The 19612-nt window shown below is 48.9% G+C and overlaps 2 annotated features.

Annotated features, from left to right (window-relative positions):
- Positions 13542-14530: an enhancer, noted in NCBI's record as "H3K4me1 hESC enhancer chr6:168052990-168053978 (GRCh37/hg19 assembly coordinates)". NCBI's record gives its function as "activates a minimal SCP1, AML or CMV promoter by ChIP-STARR-seq in primed H9 embryonic stem cells {active_cell/tissue: H9 hESC(primed)}" and the evidence as "EXISTENCE:reporter gene assay evidence [ECO:0000049][PMID:30033119]".
- Positions 18945-19145: a silencer, noted in NCBI's record as "peak6319 fragment used in MPRA reporter construct". NCBI's record gives its function as "represses an SCP1 promoter by STARR-seq MPRAs in K562 erythroleukemia cells {active_cell/tissue: K562}" and the evidence as "EXISTENCE:reporter gene assay evidence [ECO:0000049][PMID:32103011]".

The following is a 19612-nucleotide window of genomic DNA, read 5'->3' as shown; positions in this document are numbered from 1 at the left end:
TGGGTCTGGCCATGTTTTATTTTTCCACACAATCTCTCCCGACCCCGTGTTGCGTCCTAGTGCAGAGTGAGCACAAAACCATGGGCTTGTGGAAATGAAACTTTGTATTTCCAGTGTCAGAGGGGAAGGGTCTTCTGGGGAGGTCCTGAGCCTCCTGCTGCCTCGAAGGTCTTCCAGTGTCAAACCCCCAGCAGGTGCTCACCCAGACAAGCGCGTCCCCACCTCCGAAAGGGGCAGCGTCAGGAGGGGCCCCGGGTCCTGTAGTTCAATCAATCCTGACGCTGTCCAGCTGGAATGAGTTCCAGACCCACAGGTTGAGGGCTCAGTCACACGAGAAGGCCCCCACTTCAGGTGCCAACCACAAGCCCGTGTGTTTCTGACCGGCTGGCTCTGTGTACATCAGGGTTCCCAGACCCTCTCCTTGGGTTTGGTTAATTTGCTAGCTCGGCTCACAGAACTCGGAGAAACGCTCGACTTATGTTTACCCCTTTATTGCAAAGGGCGCAGATGAACCGGTCAATGAAGAGATGTGTAGGTGAGGGCTGGGGGAGGGGTGAAGCTTCCCTGCCGGCCGCAGGCACCACCCTCCATGAGGCCAGCTACCCTGAGGCTCCTCCATCCCAGTCTTCTCGGGTGTTTATGGAGGCTTCGTTACAGAGCCGTGATTGATTACATCATTGGCCATGGGTGACCGACTCAACTTCGGCCCCAATCCTCCTCCTGGAGATCGGCGTGGGCCTGGACGTTCCCAGTGGTCACACGGGGAGAATGACATGCACGTACACAGGTGACACACGGTGGGTGCCACTTGTACTTCAAATGCATCTACTTGTTTTATTCTCACCACAGCCTTGAGAGGGAGGGCATTATTATTACTATGTCCATTTTACAGCTGAGGCACAGAGAGGTTAAGTCAGTTGCCCAACGTCACACAGCCAATGAGAAATTCTTTAAATTACAGGCCCAGGGGCTGGTGACCAGGTGAGCAGAGCAGAGAATCCAGGACGGTGGCCAGAGGCAGGAGCAGAGCTGGGGAGAAGGCTTCAAGCTCAAGCTTCCAGCACCTCTGTATGTGAGCACATGTTATGTACGTGTGTGCGTGTGTGTAATTGTGAGCACACACATGTGTTTGCATATCCGTGTGTGTGTGTGCGCACACTACCCTTTTAAATTCCACGATCTGAACCGTGGTGGCTTGGGGGATGGGGATCAGCAGTGGAGGAGGAATCCAGCCTATGTGTTGTACGTTTTGAAGGAAACTAAGCTTGCAAGTTTCAGGTGAAACCCATAAGTCCTTTTCTCCTCAAATCCACACGCTCAGTGTCAGCTGGGCTTTGGAAAAACTTCAGAGAAGAATTTAAGCTGAAACTTCCACAGTTCCCAAGGTTCCCAATCACTCATGTTTGTGTGGGAGGCTATTCATTCTCTGAAGGAGAAGTGATTGAAGAGGCTCATGGAGGGCCAGGTTGAGGAACCCATCACCAGGCTCCCACAAACATGGGCAGGAAACATGGGCTCCCGAGGGCTCTGCACGCGGGTCAGAAGGCACGGGGGAGGAGGGGCCTGGGATAATAAAGGCCTTTTCCTGAAGCAGCTGCAGGCAAGTGTTTGCATGAATTAGACAGTGATGGGGACAGTGGTGATGAGAATTACAGCAGCACGCCCTTCAGAATCCAACCGCTTCCCTTATTTTGGACAAACAAGAATGCTGGCAAAGGCTATTTTCCCTGCCTTTCTCTACAGTGCTCACTCAGGCAGTCTGAACTGGCCTGATCTTCTCTCCCAGAAACACACACACGTGCACAGACATGCACACATGCACACGCATGTTTATATGCACACAGAAGTATGCACAATGCATACATATAAACACAGGAAGACATTTGTGCACACAAGCACACAATACCCACATGCATGTGCACACACATGCGAATATGCAGACACACATGTGCTCACAAGTACACACATATGCACGCACACACATGTACATAACATGTGCACACACAGAGGTGCTGGAAGCATGAGCTTGAAGCCTGCTCCCCAGCTCTGCTCCTGCCTCTGGCCACCGTCCTGGATTCTCTGCTCTGCTCACCTGGTCACCTCCCCCTGGACCTGTTCCCCAGTTTCTATCTGGGCTTCTCTTCGTAACACAGACTCTAGAATCATTCTGCACCCTGAGAGCAAGTTGCACCTGACTCCATGTCAGTGGCCATTTCCCAGGTTCCTGTTTGTCTGAGACATGTCTGTTTGGGCACACTATGACCTCATGATTGTATTCACAAGAGCCTGATGGTATCTGCAGGCCACATTATCCGTGTCTGAAAGGCAGGGCTAGAATCCTAGAGACGTCTTCTCTGTAACGTTGTGGTAGGCATGGCTCTAGAATCCAGGAGCATGGATTGTCCTCTCCCGAGAGTGGAAAGGGGTTCCATGGCAACAGGTTGTACGTCATGGCAGTCCATGAAGTACCTGGCTTTAAGCTCATTCTAAAAGGGGATGGCCCCATGTAAAGGAGAGATCAGCTCGCAACCTCAGTGCTCCCTGAAATGTTAGTCACTGATTCCAGAAAGGGATGGGCGGGGACCCGAGGGTGGAGAAGTATTGACTTTGTCACAGCCGCTCTTTCTTGGTTGTCACCAAACACGGCAAGCGCCTGGCACGACTCTCCCACGGACCTGGCAGGAGTCACTGATGTATTTTACTCCAGATTTTCCACGTCAGGCAGGGCTAGGGCAATCTCTGACTATCTTTTTATTCTCACATCTGATGTGCTCCCAGAGACACTCAGCCCTCAGCATCCTGCACCTGTCAGCTCAGGTGCGTTTCCACCTGAGGACACCCCGGAGGATGCAGCGGCCACAGCGGGGAGGCGGATGTTCGCTGCATCCCAGGGCAGCGTCACTTCGTGGAGCTCCAGTTCAGACCAAAGGTTCAGGCATGACTAGGAGGAGCCTCCCCGTCTGCCGCACACAAGCCATCCAGGCGCGGCCTTTTATCTTCATATGGGACTCAGCTTCTCAGCTTTGCAGAGCCCCCATAACGTTGCTAAGAGAGTCAGTGTCAGGATTTTGGTTTTGAGGCCAGGATTTTGGTGCAGTTGAGCCTTCATAACCTCACCAGGTTTTTTTTGTGTTGTTCACATTTCACAACTTTAATATTTTAATTATTCCTTACAAATTGAAAACAGTGCATTCAGTTACAAATGTGTTCTAAGGTTAGGCTGAGCACTCTCCACGGGCCTGGTCAGTGTGGACACGGCTGTTCCCGGCTGGCGGAGAGTGCTGTCACCCACTGCTGGTGGAAACCCCACCCACCAGCCACCAACCAGTCACTCCACACCCAGGACTTTCAGACAGGATGAATGGTGAGTACAAGGCCATGGGATAAATGCATCCCATGGGGTCTGCTATTGAGGAGGCTGCTGAGATGTGGCCCTGAGGAGTGAGTGCCCAGAGTGAGGAAAAGCCTCTGGCCTCCTCAGGTGTTGTAAACACACCATCTCCATCACCACACAACACATCATCTCCAATAACACACTCGTGGCTCTGAGCTCAGCTCCTCTGCATCCTCTGCTCGCTGTCTGTCTCCTTCCCTCAGGCAAAGGACAGAGGCTGGTCTGTCTGTCCTGCGGAGTTGCATGCCTTCTTAGGGGACTCCTGTGAGCCACTGTGCACAGTACACGGCCCCCACGGTGGCCCCGCAGAGCCTCAGGCACCTCCCTTCCTCTCTGGGAGAGGCTACAGGTTTCCAGAGCCTAGGGGGCCTGGGAGCCAGGGGCTGGTGTGAGCTGCTGCGTGTTGAAGGCTGTTGGAGGAGTGGCAGCCGCAGAGGCCCGCGCTCCATGCAGCCAGCACTGTCCCCAGGCTCCCAAAGGCAGAGCCACTGCCGCTGGTGCCACCCAGAACCCAGGCTGGCTCACGGGGCAGCGAGCAGTGACAGCGCGGGTGAAACGGGCGGGGGCATCTCCCTGGCTACCTCTGAGGCTCATCAGGGGATGGCCTGGGGTGCGCCTCACTGGCGGGTGGCCTGAGGACTAAACAAGAATGGGAAAGTGCCCAGCCAGTGCTTGGGAGGCCCTCCTGGTGCCTCGGTTTACCCCTTCACGCATCCTCACCAGCCACCTGAGATGGGCTCGGTAAAGGAGGGGCTCCGCCAGGTGTGGCTCCTCCTGGTGATCAGGATCTCAGCCCCGTGAGGCCCTGCGCCAGGCCGCGGGCAGAGAGCGCGGTGAGGAGTGGGCCCTTTTCTCCAAACCGGTTGGCTTCCGGGGTCCTGACAGTGGGTGCAGGAGTCACGCAGAGTCGCCCAGTGGTTCTCCAGCTCCAGAGAGCGCAACGGCAAACGCAGCCTCTCGCAAGTGCCTCCCCAAGTCCCGGCTGGGAGGTGTGAGGGGTCCCGGAAGCGGAGTGGCCAGTGGGGCCTCTGGAGCCTTGAATCTCAGGTCGAGAAGCAGTGCCATGAAGCACGTTGAAGAGCTCCAGGGTCCCGACTGCGCGGCCCATCACCACCTGCAGGCCCTGAACGTGCTCCAGTGATCGTGACTGCGGGAAAGGTCCAGGTTTGCCGTATGTTAGCTCTGTGGCCTGAACGATGCGTCCTAGAGATGAAGACGTCTCTCCTCTTCCTTCATGCCCCCGCCCTCCACGGCGTCTGCTTTTCAGCTCTGAAGTTGTATTTTTTCCTGCACAAACAGGCCACCATCGTCTGGAGCTTTTCAGGTAAATGAAATAAAAAATAATGCTGGGTAATAACATTTTTGGTGAAAATTCTGAAATATGACTGGGTTACTTCTTTAGCTCACACACCAGCCCTGAGCATGAGTCCAAAAGGCGGTTTCAAAAGTGTCTGAAGCCCTGGAGTGGGGTTGGTGTGAGCAAGCGCCTGCGAGGCTGCTGGGGCCGGAGAACGCCCATTAAAGAAACACTGGAAATCTGTGGATCAACAATTGCAGGAATAAGGCTTTTTTCCAAAACTTCAACCTTGTTTCTAGGCAGCCGGTGATCCTCCCAGCCTCCAGGCACGCCATGAAAAGTGAAATGTTTCTGGCTCTGAAGGACTTCCAAAGCAAGACAAGGGCCCCTTCACCCCAAGATGCTCCAAACTTGGATGGGATTAGTCCCCAGCTGATACTAGAAAATGCATTTTTACATCAGGAGGAGAGTGTGTGGGAGGAGGTGAGGGAAGGAGGGTTGGGCGGTGGAGCAGTGCTGGTAAATGTTTAACAACTGGCTCTCCAGAAAAAAAAAGTACCTATGAGGATCTTTGTATATCTGTTATAAATCTTTCTGATAGAAAGGAGGCAAGTTGCACAAGTTCCAAATAAAAAGCCACATAGGACACTCACTGCACACTCCGAGCAGCCACCCCATGCCCACAGGACATTCTGGTGGTTTTTGCCCAGCTTTCACATCTGCAGACAGTCTCTGGGTACAATCCACCCATGGTGTGGTAATGGGGCTATTTTCAACCTGTCACTTTTCTCCATACATTCATTGTTAAGCGATACGATCTCCTAAATGGTTTCTCATGTCAGCTCATACAAATTTTATTGATTAAATGAAAGCTGTCAGTTTCAGCACTACCAACTGTGATTGGCCCACTTTAGCTTTTTGTGTAGTTGCAGGGGTGGGAACGGTCCTTAATTCTGCATTTTCTCACCATGGCTGTGACTAACTAGTTTGAAACATTCCCCAGAAGTTACTAATTGGCTCTTAGGAGCTGGTGCAAGCAGGCTCCAGCACATCCTGGGGTGGGTGGCCAGGCTGGGACCAGCGCTGTTATAGAATGCCCTGGTCAATTTAGGGTTGCCCCGTTAGAAATTGATTTCGGAATTTTCTGGACTCGTTTGATCTTGGAGACGACATCACTGATGTCCAGGAGATGAGGAGCATGTTGGCTACAGTGCACATCTCAGGAAGCTGGGTGGGTTTAGGACATCAGAAAAAGACTGACCTTATGGTTCCCTTTCTAGTTTAACTCTTCACAATTTTTAACTGAAAGGGCCTTCTTACGATTTACAAAGAGAATGGACCTATCGGGGGCCCCTTTGACCCAGTATACATTGTTCAGCTCATTTAATAAATATTCATATTGGAACCAACCCCTCTGGCATTCGCTTTAATCTTTCTCTATTAAAAAGAATTCCACAGCACTCAGAGAAGAGAGAGGAATTTAAATATTTCTTTTTCCACACAACCCAAATTCATCTGACTAGCATGCTGTTTCACAAGTTTAGAATACGCCTGGAGCCCACGTGCAGTTATTTTAAGCCCCTGGCTTCTCTTTCTTTGTAAACACCCTGTCTGGGCCCACAATTACCCACCTTCACCATAACTGGGGAAGTCTCAGGTGGCCACAGTTTACCTTTTGACTTTTTGTTATTATAGAATCAGTCAGTTTTGAAATCTGATTCATTTGGAATACACAGACGTTTGTCACCTTGCTTTCTGTTAACAGATGAACAGAGTTTCCAATGAATTAATGAAATGAAATAGAAATATTGACATAAGCATTGTTTATGTATATTACTTATATATTATTTTATATGGTTTTATATATAAATATATGTGTGTGTGTGGGCATGTGTGTACATAAATGTATATATGTGTGCATGTATATATAAATGAATATATATGTGTGTCTATAAATGAACATGTGTGTATATATATGTATGTGTGTGTATGTGGGTATGTGTATATGTATATAACTGTATGTGTGTATATATAAATGAGTACATGTGTGTATATAAATATATGTGTGTATGTATATGTGTGTGTATGTATATCTGTGTATACATGTAAATGAATATATGTGTGTATATATAAATGAATATATGTATGTGTGTATATAAATTAATACATATGTGTGTGCATATGTATGTGTGTGTATGTTTAAGTGTATGTATATAAATGAATATATGTGTGTGCATATGTATGTATATGTGTGTGTATATATGTGTGTATATGTGTATATATAAATATGTGTGTATGTATGTATATGTGTGTATGTATATGTGTGTATATGTGTGTATATAAATGAATATATGTGTGTGCACGTATATATGTATGTATATGTGTGTATATATGAACATATATGTGTGTGCATATGTATGAACATGTGTGTATATGTATATGTGTATATATAAATGAATATATGTGTGTGCATATGTGTGTATATGTATATGTGTATGTATAAATGAATATGTGTGTGTGTGTGTGCATATGTATGTGTGTGTGTGTGTGTATGTGTGTATGTGTGTGTGTATCTACACTTCAGCTCGATTGCCAAGCTGCTTTGCCATCCTGTAAACCTCATCACACAGGAGCAAGAAGAGGAAGCATCCTCCCAGGGCACTGAGCCCCTTTGCAGACCAGCTCCAGAGCAGTGACTGAACACAGGGCCAAGGAGAGGAGCAAGGAGCCAGGCCCCAGTCCTCAGGCCATGTGTCAATCAGGATTGAGTTTGGCTGCAAGTGGTCATTGCACACACATGCACACACACTCACACACACACCCCACTGTCTTAAACACAATCATAGGGCAGCAGCCTGGGACTGCATATGAGCTTCAGGGTACAGGCTCCTTTGTCTCACTGCTGAGTCAACCTCAATGGCTTCCAGCTCTCAGTCTGAAATGACAGCCCAAGCTGGGGCCCGCACTCCGGCACTGCAGCCAGAAGAAGGGAGGTAAGCCCTGGGAGCCACTCTTGAGGACACCCCTGCACAGTGGTACCCCTGTATCCCTGGGGCGTGTGTTCCAAGACCCGCTGTGGACTCCTGACACAGCCATACTCCCAGACCCACTTGCTGTCTATCAGGACACGCTTCCGTGCATGTCTTCCACCCACAAACTCAATGCCTTTTTTAACTTAACTAAGCACTCACCATGCACTGCTGCTGTAGCTTTTGTCTTTTGAGATGCAACAGCAAAACCAACACAAATTTCTTTTCCTTCTTTATAGTTTCACTGATAGAAGAGTCATTCCGGCCGGGCGCGGTGGCTCACGCCTGTAATCCCAGCACTTTGGGAGGCCGAGACGGGCGGATCACGAGGTCAGGAGATCGAGACCATCCTGGCTAACACGGTGAAACCCCGTCTCTACTAAAAATACAAAAATTAGCCGGGCATGGTGGCGCGCGCCTGTAGTCCCAGCTACACGGGAGGCTGAGGCAGGAGAATGGCGTGAACCCGGGAGGCGGAGCTTGCAGTGAGTCGAGATCGCGCCACTGCACTCCAGCCTGGGCGACAGAGCGAAACTCCGCCTCAAAAAAAAAAAAAAAAAAAAAAAAAAAAAAAGAAGAGTCATTCCTACTGTAGATCTCAGCAGCCTCAGCATACGATTCTTTCCTTTGCTTATTGAGAACTGACACCTTTTCACTTTATGGCTTCTTCTTGGCAGAACCAAATGGCCAGTCTCTTGCGGCCATTACTGAGTGAACCAGGAGTGACTTGAACAATGGGAGACTTGAACTGGGAGACTCTGACAGTTGATCTGATAACCAAGGTGACTACAAAGTGACTCACGGGCAGGGAACGTGCACAGTGTGGATCCGCTGGACAAAGGGAGGACTCATCTCTGGGGAAGGAGATGAGGGACAGTGAGAGTCCTCATCACACTACTCAGAACAGTGTGCAATTTAAAACTTGTGGATTGCTGATTTCTGGAATTTTCCATTTAATATTTTGTGGCCTCAGTTAACAGGAACACTGGAAATTGAATCTGTGGTGGGGGGACTACTGTAGTTGTTAACCACACCTTCACACACCTCTGACCACACTCAGTGTCTTAGTCAATTCAAGCTGCCACGATGAAGTACTGCAGATGGGTGGCTTCAACAAGGTGAATTTATTTCTCACAGTTCTGGAGCCTGGAAGCCCAAGATCCAGATGTTGGCATGGTCTGGTGAGAACCTGGTGAGAATCAGGTGGTCCGTTTCTCCTGCCTGGGATTGCACATGGCGGCCTTCCTGCTGTGTCCTCACCTGGCCTTTCCTCAGGAAGGCGGAGAGAGAGAGACAAGCTCCGGACTCTTCCTCTTTGATAAGGACCCTAATCACATCGTGGGGACCCACCTGCACGACCTCATCTAAACCTAGTTCCCTCCCAAAGGCCCGCCTCCAAACACCATCCCACTGCGAGTAGGGCTTGAGCTTTGGAATTTAGGAAGACCCAGTTCAGTCCACAGCCCTTAGCTGCAGGGAAGGTGGGTAAGTGTGTCAGGCCATTCTCACACTTCAATAGAGAAATACCTGAGCCTAGGTAATTTATAAAGAGAAGAGGTTTAATGGGCTCACCATTCCACAGGCTGTACAGGAAGCATGGCGGCTTCTGCTTCTGGGGAGACCTCAGGGAACTTTCAATCATGGCAGAAGGTGAAGTGGGAGCTGGCACCTCACATGGCAGGAGCAGGAGGAAGAGAGGAGCAGGGAGGTGTTACACACTTTTAAACAACCAAATCTCACGGGAACTCACTCGCTATCACCACTCAGTACCAAGGGGGAAATCCACCTCCACGATCTAATTACCTCCCACCAGGCCTCACCTCCAGCACTGGGGATTACAATTTGACATGAGATTTGGGCAGAGATGCAAATCCAAACCATGTCAGTGAGCTGTCTTCTTTTCCAGGATGCCATGTGTTCAGCTACGCTATGGAACCTGAGTATTAAGGAAGAAGGAAGAACGAGGCTCCACAGGTGGCCCCTGGGAGCTGTAATCCTGTGAGTCTACAATTCCACCTTCATTCCCCTCTGGGTGCAGTCCCAACTCTCCCTTTGTGGATGAATGGAGCAGCATGGTTTTTTGTTTATTTTAATTAATTAATTAATTAATTTGAATTAAACATTTTCCAATTTCTATGCTCCAGCCATAAGTGGAGTTGCCAAATGCCTTTCCGTACGTATTTTCAGTTACTAGGAGTTTTTTGTTTATTTTTATTTTTATTTTTTTGTTTAAATGTGTGACTTCTAAGGGAGAAACTACTAAGCTGGATTAGGAAGACAATATTAGAGATCCTGGTATAACTATACTGATGACATGAAATTATAGATAATTGAATTATTTGGAGGTATTACTTTCTCTCTCTATTTTCCAGTATAAATTCTGTGTCTACATCTAGCAAACATCAGTATAAACTATATTTAAAAGTAATGGTGTGTCACATAATCTTTCCATATTTTAAAAACAACCATTACCAAGATGAAAACGTCACGAGAAAAAGCTTCAATCATAATTCGAAATTAAACAATTAACATAAAATAAGCACTTTTCCCATTGTATGGAATATTTAAAATAATCTGTCTTTGTAATCACCTGTTTTTGAATAATCAGAAATAATATACCATGAAGATAATGCCAAGGGGAATTAAAATTAACTTAATTAGGTTACATTGAAAATACCACTGACTTGACTTAGCTCTTGGTATGCTATGTTCAAATTACACCTTAACTTGGCAACATATATGGTTCTGTGTGATCGCACTCATCTTTAAGAACATCAAGACTGCAATATGTTCTTTTCAGTCTTGAGCAAAAGCACTCTTTTTAGTCATTCATTTGTGTACATGCTAGATTTTCACATTTATCTTTATTAAGTAAAATTATAAACGTTTCTTGTTTGGGTCTAGTGAAGTTTTAGAGGGATTGCTCTGTGTGCAGAGTTATTAATGGCAGGCAGCTGGAAGGGCTGTGAAGTTGGTGGGGGGTGCAGAAAGGGGGCACAGTGACAGGAGCCAGGTAGAGCTAGCGACAAAGATGGGCCTGGGAATATCTGGATTCAGGTGTGTTTGTGGAGTCAGTGGAGAAAAGACTGTGGCTGGTTGAAATTATCTGAATATATTTTTACTCGATGATGAGTGATAGAATAGTGCTTCTCTCAGTGATTGAGGGAAACATGTCTCCAAACTTTCATCTCACTTGGTGTCCCCTCCATTTAAATAGTAACATGCAAATAACACCTCCTTACCCACCTTTCTCCTCCTTCTAGCTCAGATACCATCTCTACCTGGTATTTCAAGCCGGAAACTTCTCATTGCTCCTGTCTCTGACTCCTCCATCCAAAGTTCTTTGACAATTTATCCATTCATCCATCCATCCATCCATCCACCTGTCCATCTGTCCACCCATCAATGTATCATCCATCCATCCATCCATTCATGCATCCACCTGTCCACCCATCAAGCTATCCATCATCCATCCATTCATCCATCTACCTGTCCATCTGTCCACCCATCAATCCATCCATCCACCCACACATCTATCTGTCCACCCATCAACCTATACATCATCCATCCATCCATCCATTCATCCATCTACCTGTCCATCTGTCCACCCATCAGTCCATCCATCCATCCATTCATCCATCCACGTGTCTATCTGTCCACCCATCAATCTATCCATCATCCATCAATGCAGTCATCCATCCATCCATTCATCCATCTACCTGTCCGTCTGTCCACCCATCAATCTATCCATCCATCCATCCATTCATCCATCCATCCATCCGTCTACCTGTCCATATGTCCACCCATCAATCTATCCATCCATCCCATCCATCCATCCATCTACCTGTCCATCTGTCCACACATCAATATATTCATACATTCCATCCATCCACCCATCCACGTGTCTATCCACTCATCAATCTATCCATCATCCACCCAGGCATTCATCCATCCATCCATCCATCCATCTACCTGTCCATCTGTCCATCCATTCATCCACCCATCCATGCATCTATCTGTCCACCCATCAATCTACCCATCATCCATCCATCCATCCATCTACCTGTCCATCTGTCCACTCATCAATCCATCCATCCTATCCATCCATCCATCCATCCATCCACCCACCCATCCATCCATCTACGTGTCCACCTGTCCACCCATCAATATATTCATCCATCCATCCATCCATCCATCCACCCATCCATCTATCCATCCACCCACCCACTAGGCATTTTCCAGCACCCACCATGTATGTCAGGTGCTGGGGATGCAGTTTTGAGCAGACACAGATATCTACAATAATTGCTCAGTTTGCTATCTAGTGCGGGAGGCAGACAATCAGATAATCACACTAAGTATTATTTAATTATAAATGGTGCAAATTATTTTGAAGGAAAGGAGCATGATTCTATGAAAGCAAGGGACAGGAATCTCATGTGGATCGCCTCTCTGGAGGAAAAGGTGAATGACTAGGAGGAGGTAGGGGATGAAGCAGTGAGGAGGAGCATCCGGAGCAAAGACCGTGTTGGAGGAGGACTGTGTGAAGGCCCAGAGGCAAGCTCAATGTTACTGGAGGTGAGAGCAGGCACAGAGAGCTTTGCCATTTGGCTGGGAAGGTAAACAGGCCCAGATCCATCAGGGCCTTGGCGGCCATATTAAGGAGTTTTAGTTTTTATCCTAAGAACCATGGGTCATGGGAAGCTATTGACACATTTTGCCAAGAGGTCAATGCTGTGATCAGCTACATGTTAAGTATAATGTGATTCTTTTAGTTTATTTTACAGAAAACCTGAGTCAACGTGGTTTAGGAAAAACAAGGTGGGTGGACTACTGGATCACGTAACTAAACAAACCTCAGGAGAGGGCCTGTCCCAGGCTGTAAACAATGTGGCCTGGTTTCTGTCTCTAATTCTGGGCTCTGCTTCTTGGAGTCCTGTCTATGGTCCTCCTGTCCGAGGTCACTGTCTGGGCTGTGTGCTTTGCTGTTCTTGGCCAGTGGAAAAGAGTCTGCTTTCTTGAGAGTTTTTTTGTTTGTTTGTTTTTGTTTTGTTAATCTCAGAGTTTAGTTTAAATAATCTTATAGGTTTCTCTTTGGATGACTCCCCACCTTGAAAAAATGTCCATGGGCCCTGCACATCCCGAGTGTGCAGGGCAATCGGGTGTTAGAGGAAGTGGGACAGTGGCATGGGGCGGGAGCAGCGTGTTTCTCCTAACTCGCTCGGGCTGCAGCACACCAGGTGTTCCGCGGGGAGCAGAGTGATGTGGAGGGAGCAGTTGGGAAGGTGCAGGAACCTTCACGAAGACCGATGGGCATGGGAGCTTGGACGAGCATGGTGGTTGTGGAGACGGAGAGAGATGGTCGAATTCCGGAGACACTTGGGAGGCAACACGCAGACACGAGCTGGGCTGGGCGCAAGGCGGCAGGAGTCGCCCAAAGTGCTGTCCCAGTCTGGCTTGCAGAGCTGCACGGTTGCAGGCACCAGGTACCCACACGGGACCTTGGAAGACCGTCTGTTGGGGGACGTAAAGGTTAGCACTTCCATCGTGGGTATGCTGACTTCGGGTTGTACATCAGGGTTAGATGAGCAGACTCTGAGCTTACCAAAGAGGCTGCAGCCAGAGTTAGGAGTCTGGGAGTCACCTTCACTTAAAGGGTAACTGGAGTCACGGTGAGATTTCTCAGCCGCATAGGATGAAGAGAGAAGAAAGTCTGGGATCAAGCCATTAGGAGTTCTGACATGTAACACCAGGCAGAGGAGCACAAGTTGGGGAGAAAGTAAAGAACGGGCGTCCAGAGATGCAAGGGGAAGACGGGAGATGACACGCCGTATCTGAAGTCAAAGTGGGAAGGCGAGGAGGAATAGCCAGCCTTTGTCCTACACATGCCATAGATGCCCACGACGTCTCACAAATGCGCCATATTCAGAGCCGCTGTCCGGCCAGTACCATCACGACCTCCCCGCTCTGCCGGACCACAGCCTGTTCAGGTCTCGATGCCGTTGCCAACACCATCGCCCCTGTGGGCAGGAGTATTTCCCTGACAGCTGCCTTCTGAGGGCTCTACCCAGTTCTGTTTCCCTATGGGGCCTCTCCGTCCCTTCCTGCAACACCACCACAGCCCCGCCTCACCTGCCCTCCCCTGGCCAATGGCAATCACATCCTCTTAGCTGGGGAAGTGCCTGTGGGGGTTTCCGCCTGGCCATGGGTTAGCTGCTCCCAGGCTGGGCCGTGGTCTAGCGCCCCGTGCCGCCTTCTTCCTTTTCCCTGTGGCCCTCTGATTTCTTATCAGCCCCGTCCAGCCCTCCTGGTGGTTCTGATACGGTGTGGATTCTTCCCCTTCCATTCGGCTTACGCCTGCTTCCTCTGAGCTGCAACTTAAGTCGTGGGCGTTTGCCATGAACTCACTTTCTATTGTCTGAAGTCATGGGGGGCCTGTGGCGAGGCGGAGGGGGGAGTGTGCATTCTGTTTTCATGGTAGTGGTCGTGGGGGTGGGGCACTCTTGGCCATCCTGGGATCCTCCTCTCAATTTCCCCTTGCGAGTCCCCTTCTGCATCCCACCGTGGGGACAGACTGGTGCGCTGTCTTCCCCGCAGCCCCTCTGCCTGGCGAAAACGCGGGAGCTGCTTGCTTGCTTGTGGTATGTGAGTACCCCCGATTGTATTATGCTGGACGCGCCTCTGTGTGAATGTGCACATACGTGTGCTTTTCCTGGACGAGTGCCCGTTGTCATCCAATTCGGAGAGGGTTGATCCCTCGCCTTGCATGTCAGCGCTGACCTCCAGGACAGCCCCTTTAACTTTCCCTCTGCCCTCTCCACTTCATTTCTGCTCTTTTCCATCTTGCAACATACGTGTAGGCAATGCTGGGCTACTTGCAGGTCAAGAGACACACACACTCACACACACATTCATACCCCACATAAACTCTCACACACCACGCACGCACACCACACACCACACACATACACTCTCATACCACACACACACACACACACCACACACACATCACACATGCACCACACACACTCATACCACACACACATCACACGCACTCATATGTACTCCACACACATGCACACACACCACATACACTCTCACACACACACCACACACACACACTCATACCACACACGCACTTATACTCCATACACATGCACACACACACCACACACGCACTCATATATACTCCATACACATGCACACACACCACATACACTGACACACACACCACACACTCATACCACACACACACCACACACTCATACCACACACACCACACACGCACATGCACACACACACCACATACGCACACACCACACACACACGCACTCATACATACTCCATACACATGCACATACACTCACACAACACATACACTCACACATACACCACACATACCACACAAACTCACATACACCACACACACACTTATATCACACACACCACACACGCATTCATACATACTCCATACACATGCACACACACCCACACCACATACACTCACACACATACACTCACACACATACATACAGACATACACCACACACACACTGCACACACATACACACATGCACCACACATTCACACACGTGCACACACCAAACACACACACACACTCCACATACACAAGGGCACACACAACACACACATTCACAAACACACCACATACACTAACACATTCACACACAGGCACACACCACACACTCCCTCTCACACTCACGCCCCTGCTCTCTTGTGTCTCCATGGCTCTGTCCAGGCCGCCCCCTCCGCCTGGGATCCCTCTCCTGCCCAGGGCTGAGCTGTCTCACTGCCTGTGTGGGTTTCTCAGCCTCACACACATAGCTTCTCGGTGACCCGCTGGCTGTGAAGGCTGGCAGGACTCGCACACATATTTTTCTCCCTGAAAAGTGTCGACAGCCACCTGCTCACATAATTAGCTTTAGCACTTTGACTGGTTTGACTTCAAATGCTGAAAAATTCAGAATAGACTCTGATGTCTTTGCAGTAGCAAGGTGTAAGAAGCAGTGGGCCCCCTCCCACCTCCACTTCTTCCTTTCCCTCTGTTTTTTTTTTCACAACAGCATCTGTTTGCCCACAGCTGCTCCCGTCCTGAGCACACATGGAGGTGACGGGGGGATGGACGGAGTGCAGGGAGGGCTGGGGGACACCCTCTTCCACGTGTCAGCGGCCTGAATTCCAGCACCCCCTTCTGTCTGTCACAGCACTTTCTGCTTCCCACAGCATCGCAGAGCACGTGTGTTTTACACCCAGCTGCATGGAACTTCGGAAGATAGTTAATTATATCCTGTCAGTGCATGCTAAGTTTTTGCATTAATAACATATTTCTGCTGTGTTTTTATCCTCTTTTGCTTATGGAAAGCAAAAGTTCCATGAAAAATTCCAGAAAAATCTTTTTCCATAAAAAAGTTTCAGAAAGCCCGGTAAAGGTATCGTCCGAAACGTGTAGGCAGCTTTGGTTCGGGACATTTGCTTAGTTCAGTTATATAAACTTTATTACAATTAGATGTCCTAAAATAATAAAGAGAATATATGAAAGTTTAAGTGCCAAGAATGGTCTAGTAATCTTAACAGTAACACCTAGCATTTACTGAGTGCTACCACATGCTAGGAATTCTGTTTTAAATATATCGCCCCATCTAATCCTTTCAATGAGGAGTGGGTGAGAACACAGCCAGAGAGGTTCAATAACACACCAGACATCACACAGTGATCAAAGACGCATGGGGATTGGAACCAAAGTCTCCTGGTTGCAGAGCCTGCACTCTGTACCTGTATTCGGAAGGTCCTTGTTATTCACTTACGGTGAATTTGCTTAAAGGGAGTACCAGAAAATCAAAAAAATAGTGATAACCAGTTTGGTTTGGGACATTATCTTGAAAGGTGAAAATCAGAAGATAGGCACATAAATGTATTTTCTCACATATACAGGAAAATTAAGTTTTCACTTCTGACTAGTACTTAAAAGAAATGAGAAAGGAATCAAATGGGCGTTGGGGGGTTGGTGTCATTTTCCCAGTAGAATTTTACGTGACGTGATCCTGCCTTTCACCCTAGGTAGCTTCTGTGAATGTCTGTGTCAGCCTTCCCAAGGGCCTCTCTCTGATACTCAGATCATCTTCTGGGAATTTGTGGTTTGCCATGGTCTGTGTTGCGTTCCTCGTCCACTGCCAACTGAAGATGACCTTCCCAGCCTTGTTTCTGTGGGTGAGGGTAGAATAGCCGTCTCATGCGGGATCATGCCTCCTGCGAGATTTGTATTTTATTTTGTAGTTAGTTCTCACTGTGTACCAATGTTCAACCTTCCAGCCAGTGAGGAGCTGCTGTACCAGCCCTTCTGTGTTGAGCTGAGTATCAGCAGATATTGCCCTCCGCTCCCCCTTCCCTGCCCTACAGACTTTGGGTTTGGTCATGTGACTGGCCTTGGCCAATGGAGTGTGGGTGGCCATGATGTGATCAGAAGCTCTGAATGAATCGTGTGCTTGGCTCGGACCTTGGGCTCCTGAGAAGAATGCGTCTAAGGAGGATGAGAGGCACTAGGAGAAGACTTAAACCCAGCCTGCAGCTTGCACCCAAGACCAGGCAAACCTCGCTTACAAAACAGCCACCTGCCCCAGGCCAGGTTTTGATTTTGTTTCGGGTTTTTTTTTTTTTTTTTTTTTTGACGGAGTTTTGCTCTTTTTGCTCAGGCTGGAGTGCAATGGCTTGATCTCCGCTCATGCAACCTCCACCTCCCGGGTTCAGTGATTCACCTGCCTCAGCCTCCCCAGTAGCTGGGATTACAGGTGCGTGCCACCGCGCCCATTCCCAGCTGATTTTGTATTTTTAGTAGGCACGGGGTTTCACCATGTTGGCCAGGCTGGTCTTGAACTCCTGACCTCAGGTGATCTGCCCACATCGGCCTCCCAGAGTGCTGGGATTACAGCTGTGAGCCACCGTGCCCGGCCTATCCCGGGTCAGTTTTAATCACATGAACCACTGTGGACCTGCAGGTTGTGAGCACAGAATCGAGTTTCCTGGCATAGGTTGGAGTTTTGGAGTCACCTGTCCCACAGCCTGTTGCAGCGACAGCTCCGTGATGCACTGACTTCCAAAGACGTAGCCACACTGGGCAGAGTCAGACATGACATTGAAGCAGAGAGGGGTGTCTGGCTGTCCCTTTATTGGTGGACAGCTTCATAATTTTTGCTTTCCTCACAACCGCACAACTGTGGGGACTCTCATACTGTTTACTGGGTTTTCCAGGACTTTGCAGAAATAAATCTCAGGCAGGCCTGGGGTCTGCCCCAGCTGGGGCAATGGTTTATGTGAAAATTTAACTTTCAATTGTCCCAGTTTAGCAGGAAACACGGAGCTGGTTATCAGCTACTTCCATGTGGCATGTACTTTGGCACTTGTTTCCAGAACAGTTGGGGGAAGAGGAGTGGAAAACAGTGCAAAGAACTCTGGAAAAGGACACAGTTGGGTGTCTCCCAGGCCCTGAAGGGATTCTTAGACCCAACAGAGAGTGGCCTCGGTGCTGGGTGCTAGACCGACTCTCAAATCTCAGCATTTCTGAGCTGCAAAGGAGGAGGGCACAGTTCCTTATTGAAATAAATTATTCAAATTTATTGAAATGTCTCAAAAGGAGTTGAATTGGCCATGATCTAACTCCTCTTCCCTTCTTGCCCACCAACTCCCAAGAAAAAGTGGAGGTGGCCAATCACTGGGTACAGAAGGAGACAGAAAAGGAAGGGAGGGGTGCCTCAGGCTTAGGGAGAAGCTGCTCAGTAATGAGCTCCAGTGGGGGCTGCTGAGCCACACCCCCCAGGAGAAAGAGGCCCAGGGGGCCTGGCTCCCTTCCTGGAAGACCAATGACCTTCACGGCGGTGGTCATCGAAGGGTCTGGGCCAGGAGCTCAAGGAGCCTTCAGGTAGGGACATTTGTCTCACATGCATTCAGCTGCAAAATGAAAAGCAAAGTGAAAAACTCCCCATAACTACAATGAGCTGCAGCGAAAATGTGTGCACACTGGTCAGCATGCTCTGCTCTAACCCTGGGCAGCGATAATGTGTGCACCGGTCAGCATGCTGTCCTCTGCCCCTGGACAGCGATAATGTGTGCGCACTGGTCAGTATGCTCCTCTCTAACCCTGGACAGCGATAATGTGTGCACCGGTCAGCATGCTCTCCTTGCAATAATGCGTGCGCACCAGTCAGCATGCTCCCCTCTGCCCCTGGACAGTGATAATGTGTGCACCAGTCAGCACGCTCTCCTCTGCCCCTGGACAGTGATAATGTGTGTGCACTGGTCAGCATGCTCTCCTCTGCCCCTGGACAGTGATAAAGTGTGGACTGGTCAGCATGCTCTCCTCTAACCCTGAATAGAGATAATGTGTGCACCGGTCAGTATGCTCCCCTCTGCCCCTGGACAACGATAATGTGTGCACCGGTCAGCATGCTTTCCTCTGCCCCTGGAATCCAGAACTAATCGCTGGCCCCAGTCCTATTTAGGTCCAAATGAAAAAGCAGCCATTGATCAGCTTTTTTGTATTCTGACAAAATCACACCCTACTGTGGGAGCTTTGTTAAACTCTATTCCTTGAGTCATCTAGAGGAATGTGACTGTGCTTCCTTCCTGTTTCTGTAAATTGGTCACAAAATGCAAAAACGGTTTTGGAGTCATGGCATGGCTTACCAAACTCAGTCAAAATTTGCATCTTTTCTCTTTATTTTTTGAATGATCAGTGTTGGTTTTTTGAGGAAATATAAACTTCTGATCCTGGGCTAGCAATGACTGGGAGTCACCATGGGAGCCCTGAAGGTGGAAGTGAAGTGTGGACATGGTATTCCCGTTAACTTGCAGGATACTCCAGATGTGTTGATGCCTTCA

Source organism: Homo sapiens, chromosome 6 (assembly GCF_000001405.40).
Source record: "Homo sapiens chromosome 6, GRCh38.p14 Primary Assembly".
Classification (NCBI taxonomy): Eukaryota; Metazoa; Chordata; class Mammalia; order Primates; family Hominidae; genus Homo; species Homo sapiens.
This window is presented reverse-complemented; position numbering and strand designations above follow the sequence as displayed.